At 41.1% G+C, this 17,718-nt stretch overlaps 2 pseudogenes across 1 annotated transcript; one reads left to right on the top strand and one right to left on the bottom strand.

The window, feature by feature from the left end:
• Window positions 1-5,352: 5,352 nt before the first annotated feature.
• Window positions 5,353-8,324, bottom strand: CTAGE10P (CTAGE family member 10, pseudogene; annotated as a pseudogene). The gene has a single exon (NR_003268.3). The product of NR_003268.3 is annotated as a CTAGE family member 10, pseudogene (transcript).
• On the top strand, window positions 9,005-9,099 carry RNY4P30 (RNY4 pseudogene 30; annotated as a pseudogene).

Raw genomic sequence — 17,718 nt, 5'->3', positions numbered from 1 at the left:
GGAGTGCAATGTGCAATCTTGGCTCACTGCAACCTCCTCCTCCAGGGTTCAAGTGATTCTCCTGCCTCAGCCTCCAGAGTAGCTGGGAATACAGGTATGGGTCACCACGCCCGGCTAATTTTGTATTTTTAGAGACGAGGTTTCTCCATGTTCGTCAGGCTGGTCTCCAACTCCCAACCTCAGGTGATCCACCTGCCTCGGCCTCCAACATGCTGGGATTACAGGTGTGAGCCACCACACCTAGCCCACATACTCTTAAGTATGGTTTTATTTGGTTGTTTCTGAATAGTTCTCGAGATTTTCATTAAATTTATATCCAATAGGATTTCTGTTTTTCTACAATAGAATACCTCTCTCATTTGGTGTTGGAATCCAGCAAACTAAATAAACCATAGTAACACCAGTGTTTCTGGATTCTTCCACGTCCATCTGTCTGTAAAAACACAATCCTCTGTTGACATTTATTGAGTCCCCACTCTCAGCTGTGCACAGCAAAGAGTTTATTAACAAAAAGAGAAGGCGGCTGGGTGCAGAAGCCTGTAATCCCCCGACTCTGGGAGGCCAAGGCGGGAGGATTGCTTCAGCCCAGAGGTTTGAGTCCAGCCTGGGCAACAGGGAAAAACCTTGTCTCTACAAAAAATTAGTCGAGCATTGTGGTGTGCACCTGTAGTACCAGCTACTCCGGAGGCTGAAGTGAGAGGATAACTTGAGCCCCAGAGGCAGAGATGAGGTAAGATTGCATCACTGCACTCTAGCCTGGGCAACATAGCCAGGCTCTGTCATAAGTAAGTAAATAAATAAATAAATAAATAAATAAATAAATAAATAACTGCATGTGGCTCTTGTTCTTCAAATGCTCGCATTTGTGATGTGTTAGGGTGGGACAGACTGCTTCAGAAATCTTAATAATTTTCTCAGCCTCTGCTCTGGGTAAAGACCAAGCCCCTGAGAATGCATTGAAGGGAAGCTTGTCATCCAGATACTTCATAAGGAAACAGAAAACCTCAAGAAAGCTTCCCTCAATCAGTACCACTGTTCATTTTCCTCCCTGATTCATAGGCTGGATGGATGGGAACCAGATCATCACTGGACCATCCGTGTGAACAGCACAGGAACTGAGACTGGAAATGAAGGTTGTTGGTCTCCAGGGAAGAGGGACAGAGGCTTCAGCATCTTTACAGTCTCTGCTGTTTCCTAAAAAAAAAAAAAACCCTTTTCAGGACAAACAGCTATTTCATGCTCTGTTCCACTGTCTGTCCATTATTAAGGCAGTAGGTCTTTGGCTTCATCTCATTCAGGGAAATAAATGTTTATACTGATGGCTCAGAATGCAGTGGTCTAGAATGAAGAAGAATGTGGCACTGTTACTAAAGGTAAAACTGCAGATGTACCACTAGAAGATAGCTCTAAAACGTTGTGGTCTTTTAAGCCAGGCATAGTGGCATGCACCTGTGGTCCCAGCTACTTGAGAGGCTGAGGCTGGAGGATGGCTTGAACCCAGGAGTTTGAGGCTTAGTGAGCTATGATCATGCCTGTGAATAGCCACCGCACTCCAGCACAGGCAACATAGCAAGACCCTGTTTCTAAATAAATAATTAAAATTTTAATAATTGTGGTCTTCTTAGTTGGTTCTAGTGGCTGAGCCACCCATTTCTCCCCCAGGTTACTCTAGTGGCCTCCTCACTAGAGGTCTGGCACCAAATCTGGCCCCTCTGAGTGAATAAGTGAATGTTTGATGTGTCTCTTAAGACTTCAACTCAGTCTGTTGACTATAATAGGTATTAAGTGCAACCTAGTTAAGAAAAGCAAATATGCACCAGGCGCAGTGGCTCATGTCTGTAATCCCAGCATTTTTGGAGGCCCAGGGGGGTGGATCACCTGAAGTCAGGAGTTTGAGACCAGCCTAGCCAACATGGTGGAACCCCTTCTCTACTAAAACTACAAAAATTAGCCAGGTGTGGTGGTGAGCACCTACCCAGCTACTCGGGAGGCTGAGGCAGGAGAATTGCCTCCGGGAGGCGGAGGTGGCAGTGAGCCGAGATTGCACCATTGCACATCAGCCTGGGCGACAAGAGAGAAACTCAAAAAAAAAAAAAAAAGAAAAGAAAAGAAAAGCAAATATGATTCTGATCATTGCCAGACAGAAACATTTTATTTTATTTTACATGTTTTTCTTTTATTAATCAGCTTTCTCAGGTTGAAGGAAACATTTTCATGAATTTGTTTCCATCGATCTGACCACCAGCTTTTTTTTTTTTTTTTTTTTTTGAGATGGAATTTCACCTTGTCACCCAGGCTGGAGTGCAGTGATGAGATCTAGGATCACTGCAACCTCCACCTTCTGGGTTCAGGCAATTCTCCTGCCTCAGCCTCCCGAGGAGCTGGTATTACATACACCCAACACCACGCCTAGCTAATTTTTGTATTTTTAGTAGACGTGGGGTTTCACCATGCTGACCAGGCTGTTCTCGAACTCCTGACCTCAGGTGATCCACCCACCTTGACCTTCCACAGTGCTGAGATTACAGACATGGGCCACCACTCCTGGCCGACCACTAGCTTTTGCTGAGCCTCTACTTCATTCTGTTCTGTTTGCGTCAGGCACCAGACAGCCCTTGGTATGTAGGTAACTTGGTAAGACATGATGTTCTTTGCCTCTGAGGAGCTTACAGAGTGATCAGGACAAGAGATCTGTGAAGAGATCATTACAGTGTGACTCTACAAAGAAAGTGTAATGGGAACATAGCAGAGGGAACAATTACCTGTTCTTTCTTGGGATGGGGGAGGAATAGAACCAGTTTTTCAGAGATAAACAGGATAGTCTCAACCTAAAGAGACGCACATTCCAGGCAGAGGAAGCAATGTGCACAAGCACAGGCCTGGCCAGGGAACAGTGAGCGGTAGGCAGGGGCAGGGGTGAAAGGAGGCTGGGACCCACAGTGGAGGGTCTCATATGTAGGCTAAGGAAGTAATCCTTTATCCTCTAGGAACCAAAGGAGAGTTTTACATAGGCAGATTTAGTAACTCCAGCGGAAGGGTAGGCAATGGTTTGGAGTAGGGAGAGAGCAGAGACAAGAAAACAAATAGGAGGCTGTGGCCAAGGTCCAGGAGATGTTGAGAATCTGAGACAATGTCTTAAATCTTGTGAAGTGCGCCAGGCATGATGACTCAAGCCTCTAATCCCAGCAGTTTGGGAGGCTGAGGTGGGAGGATGTCTTGAGCCCAGGAGTTTGAGACTAGCCTGGACAACGTGGTGAGACCCTGTATCTATAACAACAACAAAAAATTAAACATTAAAAATTAGCCAGGTGTTGTGGACTGTGCCTGTCATTCCAGCTACTGGGGAGGCTGAGGCAGGAGGACTGCTTGAGTCCAGGATGTCAAGGCTGCAGTGAGCAATGATTGTCCCACTGCACTCCAGTCTGGGCAACAGAGCAAAATCCGGTCTCAAAAAAAAAAAAAATCTTGTGAAGTAAAGAGGAAATAACCAGGGCCTTATCAATTCACTGAAAGGGAGATTTATTTCTCTGTAGCTTTCAAGAACACTCTTAGTATTAATGAAGAGGGTTTTTACAAAGGGAAAAAAAGGCCGGGTGTGGTGGCTCCCCCTGTAATCCCCTGTAATCCCAGCACTTTGGGAGGCCAAGGTGGCCAGATCACTTGAGGTCAGGAGTTCGAGACCAGCCTGGCCAACACAGTGAAACCCTGTCTTTACTAAAAATACACAAATTAGCTGGGTGTGGTGGCACACACCTGTAATCCTAGCTACTCAGGAGGTCGAGGCAGGAGAATCGCTTGAACTCCAGAGGTGGAGGTTTCAGGAGCCAAGATCGCAGCTCCACTGCACTCCAGCATGGGTGACAGAATGAGAATCCGTCTCCAAAAAAAGGGCGGAGGGGAACCCTGAGATTCATTAATTCTCATTTCCCTAGTTTATGAAGTGCATTTACTTTCTCTAATGGCTGTCAAAGTGAAGGCTGAACTTTGAGCTAGATCTTAGTGCTCAGGATATCAGGAAAAGGAATAATTATTCTTAGATGCTGCGTCAGAGACTGCTTGTTATCTTTCAATATCTGTTCTGTTTTACTCTTCTTTAGTAATGCAATTTTTTGTTTTTAGCTGACCACGTGGTTATAGGGAATAATGATATTTTTCAGCCTCACTTGCAGCTAGATATACTATGTTATTTATTTCTTCTGGCCCACAGGATGTGAGCAGATGTGATATGTGTAATTTCCAGGAACTATCTTTAAAGGGTTGGATGTGTACTTTCTTCCTAGCTTCCATCTTCTTATGACCAAAATGAGAAGGTAATGGCTACAGCCTCAGCAGCCACTTGAACAACGGAGTGATCTACAGAATGGATGCTAGGCACAGCAAACAATGAAATAGAAGGTTTCTTGGTCCCTTTCATAATATCTAAGGGAGATATTATTCCTAATATCACAGTGGGTATACACCCCGTAATGATATTATTCATAATATATAAGGGAGATATTACTCCTAATATCACAGTGAGGGTACACCTTGTGATGAAATTCTTTGTAATTTCTAAGGGAGGTATTTCTCCAATATCACGGGGGTGTACATTCTTTGATAATATGATTTGTAATATCTAGGGGAGATATTACTCTTAATATCTTCTTTTAGATATTACTGAAGCTTTACGTGGCCTTGTGGCTTCTGCTGTCTTGAATGGCCTTTGACATCCCCTAAGGGAGCTCATTCTAGAGCCCTTCATGAGAGGCCATGTGAAGACAGAGGCTCTGATACCATATTAACCATGTCTTTTTATGTATTCTGACACTTCGACATCTAGGGCCTTGCTGACCTTGGCAGGCCTGTCCCTACCAGGGTTAGCCAATTCCTAGAGACAGTAAACAATCTGCCCATGAGCGTGCTTTTCACACACAAGCTAACCAGTCCAGAGCTCATGCCCCCAGTCACCTATTTCATCAGGCTTCCACAGGACTCACACACTCTAGGCCACATTCCTCTGCCCTAAGCGCCCCAGGGCCAGGTACCAGACAACTAGGGACAGCCCTTATACCCAGAGCCTGCTGAAATTACTCAAATTATAATAGCTAACCTTAACCCTGCTCACCTTGCCTCACTCATTCCTTCCCATGGAAGCCACTGTAAAGGCTCTTGCCCATGTTTTTCCATCACTCCTGCCTTCTCGCTGACCATACTGCCTCCCTATTCAGTGCTGCATGGCATAGTACTTTCCCTTCTGTTGGGATCTGTGAGTAACAAACCATTTTTTCAGTGGTAATCGACACTTGATCTGTTGGTCTCTCCATACCTGAAGAATAATGCAACCTATATATATTTTTTAATCAAGTAAAATTTATTTAATTAAGCATAAAGTTACTTTCACATTTGTCTACAACCACAGTAAATACAGTTCTTGGCATAATGCCATGGCCTTTCAAATGTAAAGCCTCCCCACCTGCAAGATTACATCTATAAATCTCCCACTGTTGTTTATATAATAGTGGATTAGTTAAACAAATTAAAATAGTTATACTATCTAGAATAAAATGATATGGAAATAATTTACTCATAAGATTCATATTTAAATCATCTTTATTTACAAAATACTATCCTGAGAATTATAATTCCATTAAGTTTGAATATGAGCAAAAGTGTAATCACTGAAGTAACAACAGTTACTTCAACTGAAAATGAGAATAGTCAAAATGACTTTTGAAGAGAGCAAAAATATTGTCAAGTTTCTTGCCATGGTTCTGGATCTTCAGCAGCAGGCTCATTTGAAGGCAGACTCAACCCTAAAGGGAACTCACTCTACCTTCAGAATGTGCGGGTAGGGGGGGAAAATCCAGGTCTTGGGGGAAGGTAAGGAGGAAAACCCCTCAGTGGACAGACATTTCTCATTGCAAATGGAGCACGTGGTGGACCTGGGACATCCCTTGGTGGAAAATAATCTGGAGAAGCTCCAAACATGGTTCCTGGAGGAGGTGGAGGGAAAGGAGGTCCTCTTCTCATGAACGGGCCCCTCGTATCCACTGGAAACAACGGACCTCTGATTGGAGCAAGAGGTGGAGGAACAAAGCCAGGGCCAGTTGCTTCACTTTCAGCGGGGAGAGATGAATCAGGCACATTTAAATTACCAAGATTATCTTTGGTATCATTTCCACTGAATTCCATTTCTGAATGCACTGACCCATCCATTTTATCCAAAGAAGGCATATTAAAACTTCTGAGTTCTGCTGGTCCAGAGCGTCTAGCACAATTAGAATAAAATCTGTCTTGCCTTTGTGGAGGAAGAGCTGAATCAGGATATGATTGTCCTGGTGGAGGAAACATCATCCTACGGTCCTGTTCCCACGGAGGTGACAGGGGCCCAGTGTCAGAAGGAGCCTTGTGAGGATCAGTAAACCTATTACAGCTTGATTCTCCTCTTTCACTGGTAATCTGGTGGTCCAGAGGATTCCCTGGGCCTCTTGGGCCTCTTCCTCCTCCCCCTGGAGGGAAAGGTGAGAGTCTGAGTGGACCCTCCGACAAAGTTGGAGGATAGAGAAAAGCTCTCGTTTCAGATGAAGGCCGACCCAATGGTGAGGGACCATATGAGGAATGCTCTCTGCCAAATGCTGTGTTTGGAACATCAAGTGCATAAGGATCTTTTTCTAAAAATTTAATTTTAAAGTCTGTTTCAATTAATTTTTGTCTGTTGTGAGCATTTTCTTTCCTTAAATCATTGAGGTTTCTTTCAGCGGTCTGTGCTGCCAAACAATTATCATGTGCTTTTTTCTCATGGTATATAATCTTCCCTTGATAAAAATGAATAGTTCTCTCAAGTTCTTCTTCAAGATATTTGGCTCGCTTTCTGTAGGTCTCCAGCTCCTCAGTGGCATGGCTGATCATTTCGTCTACTTTAGAAAATTTCTCTTTCTCTAGCCGGTTATTTTCCTCTACTATTAATTTCCTGTAGAGTTTCATTTCATTTTCTTGATATAATTCAGTCATTACCTTAAGTTTCTGTTGAAGCTTCTGATTCTCACTTTCAAAATATGTGTTTTCTGACTGCAAAGATGCTTGTTCCGTCTGAAGATTTTTAATATGCTCTCTAAGCTCTTCCTTGGTTTTATCAACTTCAGATAACTGAATATAGATTTGGTTTCTTACTCCTTCTAAGGTTGTTAAAGAAGCATTTAACTTAGCAGTATGAATCAGTTTCTTCAAAGCTCCTTTTGGAGGATTATCTAAGTAAGCACCATCTTCCGATTCACTGTTCATTTCTAATTCCAAGTTTTCATCATCTGTTATGTCTTCTTCCAGCATAGCAGCCCGATCTTTGATCTTTAGCAAGCGTTCAGTCAGAGTCTCGATGTGATTTTCTTTATCATTTAGAACTTGTTCTGCGTGTACTTTGGAGTCTTCAAATGTTATTTTCTGTTTATTAAGTTCACTCACTTGTTCTTTCCATACTTCAGCTTCTTGCAAAAGCTGTTTCTGGCTTTCCTGAAGTTGAGAATTTTCATTCAAAGCATCTTGTATTGCTATCTTCATTTGTTCTTCATTCATTTGAAATCTCTTGAAGGTCATTTTGGCTTCAGCTAGCAGTGATTTTAGGGATTTTGACTCATCTTCTAGAGACTGTATCCTTTTGGAAATATCCGCCATCACCTCATCTTGTTCAGAATGTTTAGATTTATCTTCTTTTAACTCCTTTTCTAGACAGAGTATTTCATGCTCCAGTTCAGAATTGGACCTGTTCAGCTTTTCACAGTTTGCCTCCAAACTTTGTGCTTCTGTTGCCTCCTTCTCAAAGCTGGCATCCTCTAAAGGTGACTCTGCTTCATAGCCTTCATACTCTTTTTGAACAAGGCTAAATTTTTCAAGTAGTCTACATTTTTCTTCAATTAGTCCAGAAAGCGCTACAGCAAGCTCTTTCTCTCTTCCCACATAAAGCCGACTCCTAACCGATCTAAAACTTCTCCACAAGAAAAAGGGAACAGCAACAAATCCAAGGACAGCTGCACATATCACCAATTCCCATGGAAATCCATAAGGATTCGAATCTGGTCTCCTGCCTTCAGGCAGTGCTGCCACAACCCTGCGTGGCTCCTCCAGGACCAGCCCCCAGTAAGGCTGAGGGGTAGCCCCGGGCTCCTCCATAGCGCCAAGGCTGCTGTGGCGGTGGCCGCAGTAACCCAGGCCTGTCGGGGCCACAGTTAATGGCGAAGAACACTCAGCCTTCAGTTAGGAACAGAATCCGCACCTGGCAACCGGAGCGGACCACTGAGGAGCCGGCTGCGGGGGGAGCTGGGGGACGCGAGAACCCACAGGCCTTACAGGCCCATAGAAAAGATACTGTAAAAATATAGTATAAAATGTTTTTTAAAAGATCTGCTTGTATAGAGTACTTACCATAAATAAATGGAGCTTGCAAGATTGGAAATTGCTGTGGGTGAGTTAGTAAGTGGTGAGTGAATGTGAAGGCCTAGGGCACTACTATACACTACTGCAGACTTCACAAGCACTGCACGCTTAAGCTACACTAATTAATTAAAGTTGTTTTCTTCAATAATAAATTAACCTTAGCTTACTGTAACTTTTTAACTTTATAAATGTTTAAACTTTTTTAATCTTTTTTACTTTTTTGTAATAACACTTCACTTACAACACAAACATATTGTACAGCTGTACAAAAATGTCTTCTTTGTATCCTTATTTTATAAGCTTTTTTCTATTAAATTTTTCTTGTTTTTACGTTTTAATAGTTTTTTGTTAAAAAACCAAGACATAGACACACACATTAGCCTCAGCCTACACAGGGTCAGGATCATCAATATCACTGTCTTCCATCTCCACATCTTGTCCCACTGGAGGGTCTTCAGGGGCAATAACAGGCATGGAGCTGTCACCTCCTGTGATAACAATGCCCTTTTTTGGACACCTCCTGAAGGACCTGCCTGAGGCTGTTTTACGGTTAACTTCTAACAGTACACTCTAAAATAATGACAAAAATTATAGTACAGTTTGGTCCAATGATAGTGGGTTATCAGAACTTACTAACATTTAGTGTCACTAAAGTTGGTATAAAACCCTCCACTGCTAAATTTAAATGGTTTACAGTTTCTTGGTTTTTTTTTTTTTAAATAGGCTGGGTGCGGTGACTCACGATTGTAATCCCAGCACTTTGGGAGGCTGAGGCAGCCAGATCACTTGAGGTCAGGATTTCAAGACCAGCCTGGCCAATATACTGAAACCACAACTCTATTAAAAACACAAAATTAGTCAGGCATGGTGGTGCACACCTGTAGTCCCAGCTACTCAGGGGGCTGAGGCAGGAGAATCACTTGGACCAGGAGGCAGAGGTTACACTGAGCCAAGATGGCACCACAGCATTCCAGCCTGGGTGATAGAGTGAGACCCCATCTTAAAAAAAGAATAATATAGTATATACATAAATATCAATTCCTCATTCATGGGGAATCTTGTTGATCATTCTGGCTGCTTGATATTGATGAGGGGCATCCTGGGCAGCCTCATACCATGGGTGACTCTGTGGCCCCCCAGGAATCAAAGGTTAATCTAATACTATCCTTTTCTTCTGAAACAATCTTTCTTTTTCCAGTCCCCTACTTCCACCAAAGACAAATCTCAGCAAGACAAACCTACCTGCGAAATAAGCTGCAATCCCATAAACGTGGCTTGATTACCCCACAAAGTGCAGCAAGAATTGCTGTCCACATAGGCTCTCCTAAATTGGCCTTGCTGGAACCTCTCACAAGGCCATTTCAGTCAAAGACCTGGGAAAATAGCCAGTTCATCCATCTGTGTCGCAGTATAAAATAAAATAGATTCTTATTGAACTTATGCAAGCAAACACATTGCCATGAATTAAGAATATTCACAAATAATTTACAAATTCTGGATAAATTAGGCATAGAGAGAACTATGCCTCAAATTCTGTTTGAGGAAAGCATACTGTATTCAATATACTTAAAGTATACTCAGAGGCAATAAAAAGCTCCAAAGAAAAAAATTCTCCAGACTCTGAAAAACAAAACAAAAAGAATCAGCAATATTTCAAACAAAAAAACCATAAAAAATTATTTCAGTCTCCATTAATTCAGTCCATGCAATCAACTTCTGGTATGCTTCATATTGAGTTAGCAATCTTTATGAACATATCAGCATTTCAATTAGTGCCCTGGAAGTTTTCTCTCTAATCCAATGGCACAGTCTACAAAGTTATAAGAAACCTGCATTTGAGAGGTTGAATTTTTCATAAACTTCCCCAAAGAAGAAAGCCCTGGACTGTAGCTGATTATAAGTCACTTTTTGAGAAGGATCAAAGCAAAACTACAATTGTGGATGACAAAAGTTTTAAGACAGCCATAGTTAAAGGCACAGTTAACTAGGGTATTTTGTTATTCCTGTGGCATACAAGTTAACATCATAATAATAATTACTGTGACAACATATATTAAGACATATCAGAATTTTAGAACTCTCATATCATCCTGGAACTCCAGGAGGCCAAGGCAGGTGGATCACCTGAGGTCAGGAGTTCAAGACCAGCCTGGCCAACATGGCGAAACCTTATCTCCACTAAAAATACAAAAATTAGCTGGGCATGGTGATACATGCCTGTAATCCCAGCTACTTGGAAGCCTGAGGCACAAAAATCACTTGAATCTGGGAGGCAGAGGCTGCAGTGAGCTGAGATTGTGCCACTGCACTCCAGCCTGGGCAACAGAGCAAGACCCATCTAAAAAATAAATAATAAATAAATAAATAAATAAAACCCAAAGGAAGCTGAACACCACCTCAGATTGACAATGCTTCCTGCATAATTCTAACATAACAAATAAGCCAAATAAACCTAATATGTCTCTCTTGGACGTCAGGGAAACTTATACCCAAAAAAGTTACTTTGAGGTCAAAAAGACTGAATTTAGAGCTTGAAATTTTGCCATTGGAAAGTTTGTCAGAGATCAGTTTTAAGACACTTGACATCACAAAATAGGATTATAGGTCACTATAAAATAGCCATTCGTTTAGCAAAAATGATAATACAAAACAGGTTACCCTTTGATAGTGAGGAGACTCAGCTTCCCAAACAATAAGCCCTAATAAAAACAGCATGAAGCCAACTAGGAGGGAAAGAACCCTCTCTTTTTCTGTAGTTTTACTCAAAAATCTCTTATCTCTTACATGAACATTTTGTTCAAGGGAAACCAAATTTTACCTTTATATGGTATATTATTAATGTTAAAACTAATTTTAATAAAACCTTATAAACAAATCTATCCAATTGTAATCAGTTTGACCATAAGGTAAGATTTCCATAAACTTTTTATAATCTTTTACAATTTTCTATTAAGGAGCAGATTAATGCTCCAGGAAGTCCCAGATGCTGGCCTTGCATCAGTGTGGTTTTGGTGTTAATGTTTAATTTATAGAAAAACTGAAATAATCTTTCTTTTTTTTTTTTTTGAGACAGAGTCTCGCTCTGTCACCCAGGCTGGAGTGCAGTGGCATGATCTTGGCTCACTGCAAGCTCTGCCTCCCAGATTCATGCCATTCTCCTGCCTCAGCCTCCCGAGTAGCTGGGACCACAGGTGCCTGCCACCACGCCCGGCTAATTTTTTTGTATTTTTAGTAGAGATGGGGTTTCATGGTGTTAGCCAGGATGGTATTGATCTCCTGACCTTGTGATCCACCCACCTCAGCCTCCCAAAGTGCTGGGATTGAGGCATGAGCCATGGCACCTGGCCCTGAACTAATCTTATCCCTCAAAACCGGCCATTACAATCTCATGTGCCTACCTCTTCTGCAGTAGTCCCTCAGCCTAGAGGGATTGAGTAGTTTTAATTTCTGGCCCTGTGTCTTTTTTTTTTTTTCTGAGATGGAGTATGGCTCTGTCACCCAGGCTGGAGTGCAATGGCGCAATCTCGCCTCACTGCAACCTCCACCTCCCGGGTCCAAGTGACTCTCCTGCCTCGGCCTCCTGAGTAGCTGGGATTGCAGGCGTCTGCTACCACGCCCAGCTAATTTTTGTGTTTTTAGTAGAGACGGGCCATTTTGGTCAGGCTGGTCTCGAACTCCTGACCTCAGGTGATCCACCCACCTCGGCCTCCCAAAGTGCTGGGATTACAGGCGTGAGCCACCGCGCCCGGCACTTAATGTTAATAATAGTAAACACAATTAAAGTAGTTTGAAAGAAATCTCAATCAATATAATTTCCGTAAGGACAAGGCCAATTTTTCCTGAGCATTAAAATTTTGTACCCATATCACAGTTTTTCCTCATTAAAGAAAAAGATCTGAAACCAACTCAAATTATTGATTTCATTGAATTACCTTGGAAATAGGCTGGACATGGTGGCTCATGCGTGTAATCTCAGCACTTTGGGAGGCCAAAGCAGGTGGACCATTTGAGGTCAGGAGTTCAAGACCAGCCTGGCCAACATGGCAAAACCTCGTCCCTACTAAAAATAAAAAAATTAGAGGGCATGGTGGTGCACGCCTGTAATCCCAGCTACTCAAGAGGCTGAGGCACGAGAATCGATTGAACCTGAGAGGGCAAGTCGCAATGAGCTGAGATTGCACCACTGCAGTCCAGTTCAGCCTGGGAGACTAAGCAAGACAATATCTCTAATAATAATAATAATAATAGTAATAATAATGAAAAGAATCACCTTGGAAATAAACACCATTTAAACATTTTAATTCTCACCTATCTTTTCAAACAACAAAATAAATGTACTATCTGTTCAAACCTTATAAAAAATGTCTTTTATTTATTTATTTATTTGCCAAGAAACTTAAGGCTCTCATAGATCTCAAGATCATCAGCAAAGCCAATCAAAAAAATGTTTTTATACTTTAAATTCTGGGATACATGTGCAGAATATGCAGGTTTGTTACATAGGTATACATGTGCCGTGGTGGCTTGCTATACCCATCAACCCATCATCTACATTAGGTATTTCCCCTAATGCTTTCCCTCCCCTTGCCCCCCATGCCCCAACAGGCCCCAGTGTGTGATATTCCCCTCCCCTTGCCCCCCATCCCCCAACAGGCCCCAGTGTGTGAAAATCTCCTCCCTGTCCCTATATGTTCTTACTGTTCGACTCCCACTTATGAATGAGAACATGCGGTGTTTGGTTTTCTGTTCCTGTGTTAGTTTGCTGAGAATGATGGTTTCCAGGTTCATCCATGTCCCTGCAAAGGACATGAACTCATTATGGCTGCAAAGTATTCCATGGTGTGTATGTGCCACGTTTTCTTTATCCAGTCTATCATTGATGGGCATTTGGGTGGGTTCCAAGTCTTTGCTATTTTGAATAGTGCTGCAATAAACATATGTGTGCATGTGTCTTTATAATAGAATGATTTATAATCCTTTGGGTATATACCCAGTAATGGGATTGCTGGTTCAAATGGTATTTCTGGTTCTAGATCCTTGAGGAATCACCACACCATCTTCCACAATGGCTGAACTAGTTTACACTCCCACCAACAGTGTAAAAGCGTTCCCATTTCTCCACATCCTTTCCAGCATCTGTTGTTTCCTGACTTTTTAATGATCGCCATTCTAACTGGCGTGAGATGGTATCTCATTGTGATTTTGATTTGCGTTTCTCTAATGACCAGTGATTATGAGCTTTTTTTCACGTTTGTTGGCTGCCTAAATGTCTTCTTTTGAAAAGTGTCTGTTCATATCCTTCATCCACTTTTTGATGGGATTGTTTGGTTTTTTTCTTGTAAATTTGTTTACATTCCTTGTAGATTCTGTATATTAGCCCTTTGTCAGATGGATAGATTGCAAAACTTTTCTCCCATTCTGTAGGTTGCCTGTTCACTCTGATGATAGTTTATTTTGCTGTGCAGAAGCTCTTTAGTTTAATTAGATCCCATTTGTCAGTTTTGGCTTTTGTTCCCATTGCTTTTGGCGTTTTAGTCATGAAGTCTTTGCCCATGTCCTGAATGGTATTGCCTAGGTTTTCTTCTAGGGCTTTTATGGTTTTAGGTCTTATGTTTAAATATTTAATCCATCTCGAGTTAATTTTTGTATAAGGTGTTTCAGTTTTCTGCATATGGCTAGCCAGTTTTCCCGATACCATTTATTAAATAGGGAATCCTTTCCCCATTGCTTGTTTTTGTCAGGTTTGTCAAAGATCAGATGAGTGTAGATGTGTAGTGTTATTTTTGAGGCCTCTGTTCTGTTCCATTGGTCTATATATCCGTTTTGGTACCAGTACCATGCTGTTTTGGTTCCTGTAGCCTTGTAGCATAGTTTGAAGTCAGGTAGCATGATGCCTCCAGCTTTGTTCTTTTTGCTTAGGATTGCCTTGCCTTTATGGGCTCTGTTTGATTCCATATGAAATTTAAAGTAGATTTTTCTAATTCTGTGAAGAAAGTCAATGGCAGCTTGATGGGACTAGCATTGAATCTATAGATTACTTTGGGCAGTATGGCCATTGTCACTATATTGATTCTTCCTATCCATGAGCATGGAATGTTTTCCCATTTGTTTGTGTCCTCTCTTATTTCCTTGAGCAGTGGTTTGTAGTTCTTCTTGAAGAGGTCCTTCACATCCCTTGTAAGTTGTATTCCTAGATATTTTATTCTCTTTGTAGCAATTGTGAATGGGAGTTCACTCATGATTTGGCTCTCTGTTTGTCTGTTATTGGTGTATAGGAATGCTTGTGACTTTTGCACATTGATTTTGTATCCTGAGACTTTGCTGAAGTTGCTTATCAGCTTAAGGAGATTTTGGGCTGAGACGATGGGCTTTTCTAAATATACAATCATGTCATCTGCAAACAGAGATAATTTGACTCCCTCTCTTCCTATTTGAATACAATTTCTTTCTTTCTCTTGCCTGATTGCCCTGGCCAGAACTCCCAGTACTACGTTGAATAGGAGTGATCTTGTCTTGTGCCAGTTTTCAAAAAGAATGCTTCCAGCTTTTGCCCATTCAGTATGATATTGGCTGTGAGTTTGTCTTAAATAGCTCTTATTATTTTGAGATACGTTCCATCAATACCTAGTTTATTGAGTTTTTAGCATGAAGGGGTGTTGAATTTTATCAAAGGTCTTTTCTGCATCTATTGAGATAATCATGTGGTTTTTGTCATTGGTTCTGTTTATGTGATGGATTATATATATTGATTAGTATATGTTGAACCAGGCTTGCATCCCAGGGATGAAGCCGACTTCATTGTGGTGGATAAGCTTTTTAATGTGCTGCTGGATTCAGTTTGGCAGTATTTCATTGAGGATTTTCTAATTGATGTTCATCAGGGATATTGGCCTGAAATTTTCTTTTTTTGTTGTGTCTCTGCCAGGTTTTGATATGAGGAAGATGCTGGCCTCATAAAATGAGTTAGGGAGGAGTCCCTCTTTTTCTACTGTTTGGAATAGTTACAGAAGGAATGGTGCCAGCTCCTCTTTGTACCTCTGGTAGAATTTGGCTGTGAATCTGTCTGGTCCTGGGCTTTTTTTGGTTGGTAGGCTATTAATTACAGCCTCAATTTCAGAACTTGTTATTAGTCTATTCAGGGATTCAACTTCTTCCTGGTTTAGTCTTGGGAGGGTGTATGGGTCTAGGAATTTATCCATTTCTAGATTTTCTAGTTTATTTGCATAGAGGTGTTTATAGTATTCTTTGACGGTAGTTTGTATTTCTGTGGGATCAGTGGTGACATCCCCTTTATCAGTTTTTATTGTGTCTATTTGATTCTTCTCTGTTTTCTTCTTTATTAGTCTGGCTAGCGGTCTATCTATTTTGTTAATCTTTTCAAAAAACCAGTTCCTGGATTCATCGATTTTTTGAAGGGTTTTTTGTGTCTCTATCTCCTTCAGTTCTGCTCTGATCTGAGTTATTTCTCATCTTCTGCTAGCTTTTGAATTTGTTTTCTCTTGCTTCTCTAGTTCTTTTCATTGTGATGTTAGGGTGTCCATTTTAGATCCTTCCTACTTTCTCCTGTGGGCATTTAGTGCTATAAATTTTCCTCTAAACACTGTTTTAGCTGTGTCCCAGAGATTCTGGTACATTGTGTCTTTTTTCTCATTAGTTTCAAAGAACTTATTTATTTCTGCCTTAATTTCATTATATACCCAGTAGTCATTCAGGAGCAGCTTGTTCAGTTTCCATGTATTTGTGCAGTTTTGAGTTAGTTTCTTAATCCTGAGTTCTAATTTGATTGCACTGTGGTCTGAGAGATTGTTTGTTATGATTTCTGTACTTTTGCATTTGCTGAAGAGTACTTCACTTCAAATTATGTGGTGAATTTTAGAATAAGTGCTATGTGGTGCTGAGAAGAATGTATAGTCTGTTGATTTGGGGTGGAGAGTTCTGTAGATGTCTATTAGGTCTGCTTGGTCCAGAGCTGAGTTCAAGTCCTGAATATCCTTGTTAATTTTCTGTCTCATTGATCTGTCTAATATTGACGGTGGAGTGTTAGAGTCTCCCACTATTATTGTGTGGGAGTCTAAGTCTCTTTGCAGGTCTCTAAGAACTTGCTTTATGAATCTGGGTGCTCCTGTATTGGGTGCATACATATTTAGGATAGTTAGCTCTTCTTGTTGCATTGATCCCTTTACCGTTATGTAATGCCCTTCTTTGTCTTTTTTGATCTTTGTTGGTTTAAAGTCTGTTTTATCAGAGACTAGGATTGCAATCCTGCTTTTTTTTTTTTTTTTTTTTTGCTTTCTATTTGCTCGGTAAATCTTCCTCCATCCCTTTATTTTGAGCCTATGTGTGTCTTTGCACATGAGATGGGTCTCCTGAATACAGCACATTGATAGGTCTTGACTCTTTATCCAATTTGTCAGTCTGTGTCTTTTAATTGGGGCATTTAGCCAGTTTACATTTAAGGTTAATATTGTTTTGTGTGAATTTGATCCTGTCATTATGTTGCCAGCTTGTTATTTTGCCCATTAGTTGATGCAGTTTCTTCACAGTGTTGATGGCCTTTACATTTTGGTATGTTTTTGGAGTGGCTGGTACTGGTTTTTCCTTTCCATATTTCGTGCTTCCTTCAGGAGCTCTTGTGAGGCAGGCCTGGTGGTGATAAAATCCCTCAGCATTTGCTTCTCTGTAAAGGATTTTATTTCTCCTTCACTTATGAAGCTTAGTTTGGCTGGATATGAAATTCTGGGTTGAAAATTCTTTTCTTTAAAAATGTTCAGTGTTGGCCCTCACTCTCTTCTCACTTCTAGGGTTTCTGCAGAGAGATCCACTATTAGTCTGATGGGCTTCCCTTTGTGTGTAACCCAACCTTTCTCTCTGGCTGCCCTTAACATTTTTTCCTTCATTTCAACCTTGGTGAATCTGACAATTATGTGTCTTGGGGTTGCTCTTCTCAAGGAGTATCTTTGTGGTGTTCTCTGTATTTCCTCAATTTGAACATTGGCCTGTCTTGCTAGGTTGGGGAATTTCTCCTGGATAATATCCTGAAGTGTGTTTTCCAACTTGGTTCCATTCTCCCCATCACTTTCAGTACACCAATCAAACATAGGTTTGGTCTTTTCATATAGCCCCATATTTCTTGGAGACTTTGTTCATTCTTTTTCATTCTTTTTTCTCTAATCTTGTCTTCATGCTTTATTTCATTAAGTTGATCTTCAATCTCTGATATCCTTTCTTCTGCTTGATCGATTTGGCTATTGATACTTGTGTATGCTTCACGAAGTTCTCATGCTGTGTTTTTCAGCTCCATCAGGTCATTTA

Source organism: Homo sapiens, chromosome 13 (genome assembly GCF_000001405.40).
Source record: "Homo sapiens chromosome 13, GRCh38.p14 Primary Assembly".
Classification (NCBI taxonomy): domain Eukaryota; kingdom Metazoa; phylum Chordata; class Mammalia; order Primates; family Hominidae; genus Homo; species Homo sapiens.
The sequence above is the reverse complement of the archived record's forward strand: the minus strand, read 5'-3'. Positions and strand labels throughout refer to the sequence as shown.